General features: G+C 37.0%; 1 protein-coding gene across 16 annotated transcripts in view; it reads right to left on the bottom strand.

The window, feature by feature from the left end:
- RANBP17 (RAN binding protein 17) overlaps positions 1-14,202 on the bottom strand; it is a 437,998-nt gene that overhangs the window by 142,159 nt on the left and 281,637 nt on the right. The gene's annotated exons all lie outside the window — the stretch shown is intronic.

Below are 14,202 nucleotides of genomic sequence, written 5' to 3'. Positions count from 1 at the left end.
GCTCTTACATTTTGTATCCTTAGGATAATATGTTGATTTATTTTAGATTCTCTAATATTTACAGTCTAGACCATCTACTAAAATAAAGAAACAAAACTTATGGCTAATGGATGCAGTTACTGTTCACAGTCATCATAAAAGGTCATAGCTCAACCCTCAAATGTTAAAAATTGATGGCAGCTTTAACCATGCGCTATCATACAGATGTTTCCTTTTGTAGAGGCAATTATTTTCTAAGGCAATTCAATATGGTAAATACAATCTTTCATCAGCAAATATGTTGCCACATTGTTTTAGTAGAAATGCTCATATTTTAAAGCCCTTTTTAAGAAGTAAAGACAAGTTTCAATGTTCATCACTGAAGAGTCCAGATCATCAGTGTGGGTTTAGCTTTACATACAGTACCTTATTTGGCAATCCCTATATAAATGATGTAATATCAAAAACTAGGAAATGGTACTGAAGAATAAAATACTTAGTTAATGAATGAGTCAACTGACATAATCTTGCCGGGTGTAAAACTTACTGAAATATACATGCAGATGTACATTCATATTTTTTATAAGACACACTGTAGCTTTAAACATCACCCTCTGTTTTCTTTTAAACAGCCAGAGAAGCAAGCTGAAAATTATTAGACATTTAGACTAATTAGGAATAAACATTCACAATTATCATAATGTGTTACTAAAAACCCAGATATTTCTTGGTCTGATCACAACAGCCAATGCTGAAGAAAAACTATTAATTACTGACAGACAGTTAGCTTACAAGTGAGCTGCATTTTAAAAACCTCCTTTAAAATACAATTGCTAAATGCCTTACAGTGCTGTAATGTGAGACAGGTTCAAATCTTATTACTTCACTGAAATTAAAACCTAAGTTTTAATACTGTTCAAGTCGAACAATGATTCCACACTTTATTGCTTTTGAAATCCCTTGATGATCATAGGGAAAAATGCCCCGGAGAAAAAAAGACTGTTTTCGATAAACAGAAAATACAGTTTGCACTCTTAGCCTCTTTGTCATCACAAAAAAAGGATTTAATGCCAATTCTTTAAAAAAAGACTTTTTTTCCCACAAAATGTGCACCTTGTGTGCCATTTGTAAAATCAGTTCACTTTCTTTTATTTATTACTGCAGTGCGGCAAGGCAATAAAGAAGCTACCGATAGCTAATAAATTACATGCCTTTTAAAACAATTCTCTTGCTACAAAAACATGTAACTACAAAGGTTTACATTTACATGGTACATCATATGAAATGTCTATATTTGTGTCCTATTAACCATCTTGGCAAATTGTGGACTTTTACCAAATAGCTAATAGGAAAAAAAATATAGTGATCCACACATGTTCACATGACATAAAAGCCGTTCTAGAAAACTACTCATGTATTTGCACTTTACAAAAATACTCCAAAATTTATTTTAAAAACATCTAAATAAATTATTTCACACATCAAAATGGTACTCAAGGATCTTCTAATCAGGATTAAACTTTACTCAATTACTGAGAACTAAGAAAGTACCTTTTTCTTCTAATTTATGTTCCTAGTATCACATAGTCTTTTAAAAATCATAATTTTAGCAGTTACTTAAAATAAATTATATAGAAGGTAAGATCACTGGAATGTAACCCAGAATGTGCCAATTCTGATTCTTAATGAATATAATATAGTACTTGTAGAAAGATATAGAAACTAGGTAATTTCGGAAACATTAAGGAACATCCGCTTATAATCTTTCTTTTGAAAGAATATTATCTTCACATATCCATAAGAATTGCTTTTAAAATCTTAATGAAAGTAAGCTATTTTGTGTCTCTGCTTTGTCTATGTACAAATGAATTCTGAAATAACTATACTCCAATTTACAGGATTAAGTTGTTAAATTAATCAGGGCATTTTCTTAATGCTTTCATGCTCCAATCTTATGATGAGAATGTATTTATGAGGTAGTGTATTGCCTTTTATTATTAATTTCCTCCATTTCCTGTAATAGCTATCATAGCTGTGGCTCTTTTGTGCATGATTCATACTTACAAAATTTCAACTTTGTTAATTATGCATGATGAACAATGCTTCAATGTTCAAAGCACAAACAACTTTGTTTCATTTCATCTTTACTTCAAGATGACAATCCACTATACAAATGAATGAAAATTTTATATTCTGTAGCACTCGATTTCTCCATTCAAATCTACTTTTTCTCTTTTCTTTTAAAATCAGTTTGATTAGGAATTTGTGGGAGTTATCTTTTTTGAAGGGTTCACGGAAATAAGTTTATTTCATTTTCACAGATTATGGAATTAGGGGAATTATTATCATCATAAATCATAATTGTATAACATCAATGTATGTGGAGAACTCTGCTATATTTCATAACTTATTTTTGCTTCTTTTTTAATAGTAAATGCTCATTTGCTGAAATCATCATTGCCTTTTCCCACACTGTAGTTGATATTAAATGATATTATTCTCAAATAGTGATCAAGAAAAATAACTGACAAAATATCCACTTTCTCTATGGCTACTTTCTCTACCTCCTACATCTCATTCATAAAATTTTATTTTAAATCTTTAATTACTTGGATTATCCTCTTTTTGGCTGGGGGAAGGCTAATTGTATTCTCCCTCTTGCATCGCTAAGAATGTACAATCAAAATAGGCACAGCTAGGTATCATTAACTCCATATATATACATATATGTGTATATGTGTGTGTGTGTGTGTGTACATATATATATATATATATATATATATTTTTTTTTTTTTTTTTCTAGATGGAGTATCACTCTGTCGCCCAGGCTGGAGTGCAGTGGCGTGATTTCAGCTCACTGCAACCTCTGCCTCCCGGGTTCAAGCCATTCTCCTGTCTCAGCCTCCCGAGTAGCTGGGATTACAGGTGCCCCGCCACCATGCCCGGCTAATTTTTCGTATTTTTAGTAGAGACAGGGTTTCATTATGTTGGCCAGGCTAGTCTCAAAACGCCTGACCTCAGGTGCTCCACGTGCCTCGGCCTCCCAAAGTGTAGGGATTACAGGCGTGAGCCACTGAGCCCAGCCTAACACAATACTTTAGATGGCAAAATCAAATAGTGGTTAGATTTCTTGAGGTTATACAGTTAAATGGTTTCCCCAACTTCCTGTTTTCACTGTTTGACAATGCTGTTTCTTAGCTGCTAGGGAAAAATATGTATTCACTGACATTTGTTCTAGTAAATCCAAAGTAAACACTATATTAAATGCTATTTCATTCAATATACATAAAATAATCTTGGCTGGGCATAGTAGCTCACACCTGTAATCCCAGCATTTTGGGAGGCCAAGGTGGGCAGATCATTTGAGGTCAGGAGTTCAAGACCAGCTTGGCCAACATGGGGAAACCCCGTCTCTGCTAAAAATACAAAAAAAATTAGCTGGGCATGGTGGCGCATGCCTGTAATCTCAGCTACTCAGGAGGCTGACGCAGGAGAATGGTGTGGACTCGGGAGGCGGAGCTTGCAGTGAGCCGAGATCGTGCCACCGCACTCCAGCCTGGGTGACAAAGCAAGACTCCGTCTCAGAAAAAAACACCTTGACTTGCACATAAAATAATCTTGGCACCTATCAGACAGTGGAAATAGCAGGTAGTTCTTGGTGCCAACTAAGAGGAGTAGGTTAAATTCATTTGTTTTACTAATTATCTTCTTAGAAAAGATGGAATATTCACTTTGTCCTCAACCCCCTTAATTTGGTTAAAAAAAAAAAAAAAAAAAAACTAAAGTGAACTGTTATTTAGATTTCTTGGTCTTGTTTGCAATTTTTATTTATTTATTTATTTATTTTTTTGAGATGGAGTTTTGCTCTTGTTGCCCAGGCTGGAGTGCAGTGGCGTGATCTTGGCTCACTGCAACCTCCGCCTCCTTGGTTCAAGAGATTCTCCTGCCTCACCCTCCCGAGTAGCTGGGATTACAGGTATGTGCCACCATGCCTGGCTAATTTTGTATTTTTAGTAGAGATGGGGTTTCTCCAAGTTGGTCAGGCTGGTCTTGAACTCCCGACCTCAGGTGATCCGCCTGAAGATTACAGGCATGAGCCACTGCACTCAGCCTGTTTGCAATCTTGAATGGAAAAGTGGAAAACATGAAGCTGAACACTTCTGTTCTCTTTTTGCACTAATATGCAACTCTTGGTCCTATCTTACTTCCCTGTGTATGTTATATGCAGAAGTGAATGACACTAAAAGAAACCCAAGCACCCCCTGGGTGTCAGTCTTCCCCTGTCTTCCCCAAGATTTCATCAGTTATCTTCCAATATGTTCCCAGTATTCTGCATATCAGTCATGGGCCTCATTACATTGAACAATGATTACCTATTAACTTTGTGTTCTCCACCAGTCTGTGATGGCAGGAATATCTTTCCCTAGGCAATAGTGTGTCCCACTGTTTAGCATATAATAAACAGATTTGTAATGATAAGTATTTGTATAATAAATGAAACAAAAAAAAGAGTGCCACTAATCTAGCCAAAAATAACATTCTTACAGACTCTGTATAAATCTTTTTCTAATGTACAATTCTTGAAAACTAAACACTGGCTGGTTCCAACCCACTGTTTCTTAATAAGATGCTGCTCTAATTAACAACACCTACTTCAGAAATATGACTAGGATCAGAATAAAATTTCTCTCCTTCTGTCACCATAAAGTCTGACCATCTCACTCTAATCAATATCCAATCAATCAATGAGAAAATAGGTGATAATCTAGCACTGTCCTAGTTGTATGACAGATACAAGATATGTATAGACACTGCCCCTTTCCTCAAGAATCTCAAACCTTGCTAAGAAAATAAGGACACAGAGCATAAAATGCTTTAGGAGCAAGATCAGGAATTACACTTCATCATTTAATGGATTTAGAGTTAGAAGGACCTAAGGTCAAATCTTGTGAATGCCACTTCCTACCTATGTACTCTTAGTTGAGTTACTCTACTATAGAAATGAGGTTAATGACACCTTCGTCATAAGATTATTTTGAGACTTATTAAGATATAATGCACATAGAAGGTTTATCATCATAGTGACTGGTGTATAATAAACAATAAATGAGTGCGAGCATTGCCATTATTAAGTTTTAACAGCAAATATGATCCAGGTATGAGTTTGTATGAGTGTGGGCAGAAGGAGGAAGAGAACAGTATGATCCAAGTTAAAAATGGGAGTCAGCATGACAGAAGGGAGCTGTGGAAACCAAAAACTGGACAGTAGATGGAGCTAGATTATGGAGAACCTTAAAAGCCAGAGTACTGGCTTGATGTCATGAGCAACAGGGAGATTTCTAAGTGGGAAGAACCCTAGGACAAGAGTGACGTTTAAGATTTGTCTGACTACATTGTGCATGATAGTTCAGAGTCAGAGGGGTAAAGCTTGTATCTTTTTGGGGCCCTTTTTTTTTTTTTTGAGATAGAGTCTCGTTCTGTCGCCCAGACTGGAGTGCAATAGCGATCTCAGCTCACTGCAACCTCCGCCTCCCGGGTTCAAGCGATTCTCTACCTCAGCCTCCCGAGTAGCTGGGATTGCAGGCATGTGCCACCATGCCTGGCTAATTTTTTACTTTTTTTTTTTTAGTAGAGATGAAGTTTCACCATGTTGGCCAGGCTGGTCTCGAACTCCTGACCTCAAGTGATCCTCCTGCCTCGGACTCCCAAAGTGCTGGGATTACAGGCGTGAGTGAGCTACTGTGCCCAGCTTCTGGGGCCCTTTATTGCCTCTGTTACCATGTGTTCTTTCTCCTCGATATTCTGAGTTTCATGGACATCTTACTCTGGTTTCTCACTTTCTAATTATTTATTTTCAGTTAGAAATTTCTATTCTTCACATTCTTGAATTGAAACTGCCCTCCGCCCTCATATACCCAGTTCCTTGGGGGAGTTCATCTGCTCCCAAGAGTTCAATTAAATATATACCAAAATGACCCTAAATCCACAGTTCTGAATGCAGAAAAACCAGCCCTCTCTGGTTTAGTTGTATTACTGAAGAAAGGTAGTTAGGTTTGGCAATTGAAAAGAAATGTCAAGGTGGCAAAATGGCAACAATTTTGGCTCTTTTTCCTTGGTTCGAGAAAGGCTAGGAACTTGAAGGAGGCGATTACCACTGCTAGGTTAATTATATAAGAATGCCATCCATCAGCTCAATGGCTCACCTAGTTCATAACTGTCTCTCATTAAGGCTTCAATGAACTACCTTCCACCAATGACCATTAACCTCACAGGGTTAGAAATGTAGCCCAGATATTTATATCTTTTCATAATAACTTGTTGAGAATCTTTAATTCATGAACTTATTAAGCCTATTTATATTTTTAATTTGTGCCATTGCTTGGGAGAAGTTCTGTAAATTTTATTATTGACCAGAGAAAGTGGAATTGCTTCTTATTTTCCCTGAAATTAACATATATTTAAGGCGACTCTTGAATTTAAATATTTCAGAAATTTTCAAGTCCTGCCAATATCCTAACTAAAAAACCAAAAACCTGATCTTGCCTTTCAAGTGTTTAAATTCCTAGGCCAAAGAGGCCTGACTCTTTCATAATATTGATTTCGGTGGTCTTTATGTGAGCTTTGCTCTAGAAAAGTGAAATATAAATATGGATTATATCTATTAACACCATGCCTTTAAATCATTTGAACTGAACCTCCACTTATAGCATCTTTAAGGTCTATTTTGCACAGATCACATTTCTGGGTAGTGACAAAGGTCAAAAAAATGTTAACATAGCCATTCTATTCTGACTATTATCTTGAAAGGTTACTAGAGGCCCCAGTAGACAGATATAAACTTTAAGGAAAAAGCAAATTCTCTGCTGGAATTTTTTACAGAGACCTCAACTAGTTCATTTTCTTTTTAAAGTAAAAGCATTTTTGAAAAACCTTGCAAAACACAAAAGCAGCGGACCAAGTTCCAACAGTGTTCCTCAATGACAAAAGGAACAAAACGTCTGCAGACAATTAGAAAAGAGCTAGGAATTTAACAAACCAAATGAAGTGTGTTCACTTCTAACTAAACAAAATGCACCACCTCTGACTCCTTATGCAGAAACTTTGGATCACAGAATCATCTCTTGGGTATGACAGAATTTTTGAAAAGCAATGTAAAAACCAGAGTTCAAATCTCCAGTCACAAATGTGAGCATGAACAATTTCCTCAACTTCTTAAAGAATCATTTTCTTCATCTATAAAATGAGGACAATAATATCTACCTTGCAAGGCTGTAGAGAAGAGTTGTGATAATGTGGACAAAATGCCTAGCATAGTATCTGGTGCAAAAAGGTATTTATAAATACTATATATTTTTATTGAGAATATCACTTGCATATCATCTAGTAGGTAAGCTTATAAAAAATTAGTACCTTTCATCAAATTGTGTAATGCTTTTTTCTTTCTTTTTTTAATGAGAGGGGACATATAAATTAATATTTACATTCTATCATTACGAATCTGTTATTAGTGTTATCACACTATGGCCAAGTACCTATTTAGACAATTTAAACTTTGATTTCTAAGAATAAGTAATTGGGAAGGGAGAAAAACATTTTAATTATATAATATTTAACACATTGCACCTAAATTAAAAAGTAATTATTCTCTGGAGGATTAAATGGGAATACCCTAAAAACACAAAGTTTTTAAAGAGTGGTATAGATTCCCAGCTTACTGTGAAAAATTCCCAACTACTTTCAAAGATTTTAACAACTCCAAAATGGCTGACAGTAGGTAAACAGAATATAAAAACAGATGGTTCAGACAATCTGAATACAAGAAAAGCAGGTGTTTAGCAAAACAGAAGCATTTGCCAGTTTGCCAATGCTGCTGGTTCCTGCTTCAACACTCTGCTTGCCTCCCCCTACCCCCACATCTGTTCACTAGTACTTACGTGATACATTAAATTGACACAGAGGATGAAGACTAACAACCTGCAAACCAAGAGTCTACAGAGGAGATCGCTGTTATTTTAAAATAGGATTTCCTCTTCTTTGAGGTTTCTCTCACTATTTTAATCTTAGAAAGGTGGAAAAATGTGTCTTTCTTCACAAGTAAGACACGTTCCATAGATTTAAGAGAATTATTTTCAAAAGAGCACAATAAAGAGATATTAAGGCCTGGCTTACAAAACACATTAATATAGATAGATGCAAACTAATTCAAAGTGTAAACCATGTCTGCAGAGTATACTCTATATTGCTCAAGTACAATAAACAAAGAAAGTACCATAAATTAGCTTCTGGACACTGTAAGAAAGCAATCATAGCGTGTCTTTACCAGATGTGTAATGAAACTATGCATTTCTCACAAAATCTTTCACTTTTGTTTTGCCTCTGAACAAACTAATCTAGGGACTTAAGGGAGATTATGATATAATTTAGAAGGAGGCTGATACAGTAAGTGAAATACGGTAAGTGAAAAGAATAAAATTAACAGTCATGTGTTGAGAGAACCCAAGATAGGAAACAGTTCTCCTGTTTAGATATTTTTATTTGTGTGATATGGGATTTTGGGGAGAAAATATATATAACTATGTGGACTTCAGTGGACACATGAAAAATGAGCATAGCTCAGAGCTCAGTAAAAAATGGAACAGTAAAAAAGATCCATGGTATCTCCAAAAGAGGTTAGGGATGCTAACAGTGGATGTTGGTAGATATCAAATGAGGAAAGGGGCCTTTGTACAGTGGCCAGGGAAGTTGAGGTGATTTTATAGAATGGGTGAAGACAGTAGGTAAAGTTAGATAGCTTGTACGTGGTAGCTACAGAACCTATGGTTAGGTTTACTTTACCAGCAATCAGCCTCTTGGTTGACTATTCTAGTTTTTACCACATCACTTGTACTGAAGTTTCAGGGACAGGGATGATGACGATAATATGAACAGCTATCGTTTACTGAGTGCTCATTATGGGCAAGCACTATGCTAAGCACTTTATATACTTTATCTCATTTAATCAACATGGTAAGTCTATGAAGCAGGTAGACATTAATATCACAATTTTACCACTGAAGAAATCACATTAATATCACACCAATCACATTAACATCACAATTTACCACAAAAGAAATTGAGACCCAGAGAAGTTATGTGTCTATTGAGTCACATATCTGTACGTGACAGGGCTGGGACTTAAACCCAAGTCAGAATAATGTCAAAGCCCATACTCTTAACCAATTACTTTATATATATGATCATGAAATGTTCTCTCTCTCTCTCTATATATATATATATATCAATACAGATATATAGACAAGTACCTCAATACTAGACAGGATTAAACTATACACTATTTACAAGTATCTGATAGCATCAAATGTGGTTTCATATTCATTTATACTATCAAAAATTCGTACTTTAAATGGGGTTTTCCATATAATATTGAGGTTCTATTAATTAAAGTCATTTAATATCTGAGATTAAAAATTTTTTTTTTAAATTTATTTTTTTATTGATAATTCTTGGGTGTTTCTCACAGAGGGGGATTTGGCAGGGTCATGGGACAATAGTGGAGGGAAGGTCAGCAGACAAACAAGTGAACAAAGGTCTCTGGTTTTCCTAGGCAGAGGAACCTGCGGCCTTCCGCAGTGTTTGTGTCCTGATTACTTGAGATTAGGGATTGGTGATGACTCTTAACGAGCATGCTGCCTTCAAGCATCTGTTTAACAAAGCACATCTTGCACCGCCCTTAATCCATTTAACCCTGAGTGGACACAGCACATGTTTCAGAGAGCACAGGGTTGGGGGTAAGGTCACAGATCAACAGGATCCCAAGGCAGAAGAATTTTTCTTAGTGCAGAACAAAATGAAAAGTCTCCCATGTCTACTTCTTTCTACACAGACACGGCAACCATCCGATTTCTCAATCTTTTGCCCACCTTTCCCGCCTTTCTATTCCACAAAACCGCCATTGTCATCATGGCCCGTTCTCAATGAGCTGTTGGGCACACCTCCCAGACGGGGTGGTGGCCGGGCAGAGGGGCTCCTCACTTCCCAGTAAGGGCGGCCGGGCAGAGGCACCCCTCACGTCCCGGACGGGGCGGCTGGCCGGGCGGGGGGCTGACCCCCCCACCTGAGATTAAAAATTTTACCTTTCTTTAGCTGCTTAGAAAAGATGATTATGGCCAGGTGCGGTGGCTCATGCCTGTAATCTCAGTACTTTGGGAGGCTGAAGTGGGTGGATCATGAAGTCAGGAGTTCAAGACTAGCCTGGCCAAAATGGTGAAACCCCATCTCTACCAAAAATACAAAAATTAGCTGGGCTTGGTGGCGGGTGCCTGTAATCCCAGCTACTCGGAAGGCTGAGGCAGGAGAATTGCTTGAACCTGGGAGGTGGAGGTTGCAGTGAGCAGAGATACCGCCACTGCACTCCAGCCTGGGTGACAGAGCAAGACTCTGTCTCAAAACAAAAAACAAAACCAAAAAAAAAAAAAACACACAAAAAAACAAACAACCACACACACACACACACACACACACACACACACACACACACAAAACAACCAAGAAAAGATGATTACATAATAATTCTACTTTTTCTTCCATGTTTTTTTTTAGACTTCAGCACAAAATAATAGCAAATGTTTATAAAAATGTATATGCCACTCATTGTGCTAACCAGGGGCTTCTCAACTTCAATACTACTGACACTGAAGGTCAGATAATTCTTTGTTGTGGGGCTGTCTTGTGCACTGCAAAATGCACCTGGATTCTATCACTAGATGACAGTGGCACCCCTCTCCCAAATTGTGACAACCAAAAATATCTTTAAATATCATCAAATGTCCTTTGGAAACTGCTGTCTGCACTAAGTAATTTACACATATTTACTAATTTAACGCTCACATATACCATAAGATAGTACTATTACTATTCTACTTTTATAAATGAGGAAACTGTGATAGTACAATTTGATGTAAGAGAATAAGTGGTAGAGTTAGAATTTAAATTTAAGCAATTCAACTCTAGCAACTGTACATTCACCTAGCACACTATACCTCTTCTCCAACAAAATAAAAAGTAGACTTCTTAGCCCTAAAGGATTATGAAGGATATATGTATATATTTTCTGGTTTAACTTGCTACTATTACCTGGGTAGAAGTTAAGGGGGATATAAAGACTGAGCTCACATAGCTCCAAGTTCCCTGCTCTGTACTGCTTATCTTAAGATGGCATAATATAGAAGTTGTTCTATTTTGGGGGGTTAAGAACTTCTTTGTGAATATGATCAAAGATATTTACCCTCTCCCAGAAAAATATACAACACATTACATACCGTTTTTTTTTGGTCTTAGAGGATATTACCTGCAGAACCTGAGTTTAATTTCTGTCCCAACAATTACCAACTGTATGACTTTGAAAAAGTTACTTAACTATGTTGACCCCTAAGGTCTCCTCTGTGAAATGAAGAAAAGTGCATTTACCCTACATGATTGTTGTGAAGCTTAAAATGATTACATGTGTGAAACACCTAGCAGAATACTGGCACGTAGAAGTCACACAATAAACAGCATTCCTCCTCTTGATAATTACATTTTCTTGTTCTGCCCTTTCTACAAAGAAAGCCTTATCCACTTTTCAATATGCTCCGAGATTTTTGGGCACACTGCTTATCATCCATGTCTTCCTTCAACTCTTATACGCATAGAAGATAAATTAGGTCTTTATCCTTATTTGTTACCTTAGAGGATATTATTTGGTCACCTCACCCCAATGCCCAAGGCTTAAGGTAAAAAAGAAGGAAAAGAAGGCATTCCTCCTTGGCTGTGTTTCCTTACCAATGTTAGAAGTAGAATTTTATGGGATTGTTGCAAGGAATAGAAAAAATTTATGTAAAATGTTTGAGATTGCCTATTACAGGTGATTAACAAATGTTTTTTCTTCTTCCTGGGGCCTATTACACACAATATGGAGTTTCCTCTAAGATGTTATCCTTTGAGTATCTAAAAACCCACATTATTAATTAAAGTAATATGTTTTCCCTTACTTTTGGGGGGATTAGTTTTTAAAGAAGAGTTAATCCACTACACGACTTCATAGAAACACTATTTTTTGGGAATGAAATATGGATCCCATTATGCGGCTTCCAGGAGACGAGACATGACATATACTTTGGGCCTATTTCAATTAACAATTTCATTACTGTTATGAGCAACTTTTGGTTTGAGCCTTCTTGAAGTTGTGTAATTGGTTCTCGCTTGTTATGCAATCTTTCTCTATTGCGCTGATAAAAATATTTCATTATTTTTGCTAGTATCAAAACATTCAGAAATCTCCAAAACAGCTGTTGATAAAAGTATGGAGGACCAGGGAGCAGAGGAACCTTGGAACGAAGTAAGGGCAAGTCTACTCCTATGGCCTTTAGAATATGCATTGTTTCTAAGAATTTATACTAAAGAAAAGTTTCTGCTTCTCTTCTGTATTTCATTTAAAAAAAAAGACAAATCTTGCTTAGGAGAAAGTGTAATACAGATTTTATTTTAAAGCACAGGTGATCTAAGGTTTGGAGACAGAGAATGCTAAGATACTAGCTTACCCAGAATTCTGATTGAGTCTGGAGCATAATGTCAAGAAAAATGGCCCCCAAAGACCAACTGTTTGGGGCTTTTGATGAGAAAGAGAGCTTTAGGTTTCTTAGGAACCACTGCTAAGCTTACTTACTAAAGTAATTTAAGATAAGAAATCTGGCTTGACTTTTCTTTATATACAGAAGCCCTGGTATTTAATATCTAGCCTTCATAGTATATGCTAAAGCACTTTTTGATAAAACAATAGCTCTTTCAATTTAATATCATGCAAGCATCACACAAATAATTTAACACTGTATTTAGTCACAAAATAGCCAAGCGAAATATAAAATTCTCTCCCAACAGGCTGCTTCTCCATATATCTTTATGCCTGGAGCCAAAATCCATCACAAGCGAGAATACTCAAGAGAAATAGTAATATAAAAATCTTGTGTCCTTCCCATTCTCAGTTCCTCTGAACCAATGCAGAGCGCTCCATGGTCTATGACATCCAAAGAAGATCATGACAAAAGAAACTACAAATTATCCTGTCTCACAGTAAGTCATAATGTCATTTCAAGTGAAGAAAACACAAAAAGGGATTTCACAGATAGTCAAACACTCAGTTTTAAAAGGTCCTCCAAATCTGATCTATGCTGTTGTGGCAGGCAGAGACCATAAAGGACAAAACACCTTTAACAAAACAAGACATAATGAACACTTATTGCCATTGGGGAAGGCAATGGGGGCACCATTCGCAGCCATCAATAAGTGAAAGAGGCAAGATGGCTGAAGGGCAACCTGCAGTTTGTATTTTTTTCCCTCTAGGACTAGGCCACTGCCACCAGAATAATTCTTTTTTTGAAATAAATAAATGATCAATCACATCTCTTACCTAGTTAAAAATATTCAATGGCACCCTATTTCTTACCTTATTTCTTTTTCTTTCTTTCTTTTTTTTTGAGATAGGGTCTTGCTCTGTCACCCAGGCTGTAAGGGCAGCGGCATGATTTTGGTTCACTGTAACCTCCACCTCCTGGGCTCAAGCGATCCTCTTACCTCACCTCGGCCTCCTGAGTAACTGGGAGTAGTGCACACCACCATTCCTAGCTAATTTTTTGTATTTTTGGTAGAGACAGGGTTTCATCATGTTGCCCAGGCTGGTCTCAAACACCTGCGCTCAAGTGATTCACCTGCTTTGGCCTCCCGAAGTGTTGAAATTACAGGTATGAGCCACCACGCCCAGACGGCAGCCTATTTCTTACAGGGTAAAACCTTCCTTCCTTAGCTTGCTGTGGAGGATCTTTCCTGTTCTGGCCCTTCCCAACTATAGTAATAACCCTTCCCCTAATTGCTGTTTTATCTTCCCAGTATTTTACACCCCCAGTCCCTCTGACAGGGACTAATCATGTCATGCTCTGTAATACTCGCATGGCTTTCTGTCTACTGTTCCCTCAGCTGAGAATAATTATCCTCTCCTTTTCAACCTGGCAAAATCATCTCCATCTTTAAGACCTCGTTCAAATATAATTTCTCTTAGGATGCTTCTCTTGACCTCTTTCATATGGAACTTCATACATTTCCATTGTCATTCTGTGCTGTCAATTATTTGTTCATCCATCTGTCTCTTCCACTCATCTGTGAGCTCTAAGCATAGGGACTGGGATACAGCAG

This window comes from Homo sapiens, chromosome 5 (assembly GCF_000001405.40).
Source record: "Homo sapiens chromosome 5, GRCh38.p14 Primary Assembly".
NCBI lineage: Eukaryota > Metazoa > Chordata > Mammalia > Primates > Hominidae > Homo > Homo sapiens.
Note: the sequence above shows the minus strand (reverse complement) of the source record. Positions and strands in the feature narration are given on the sequence as shown.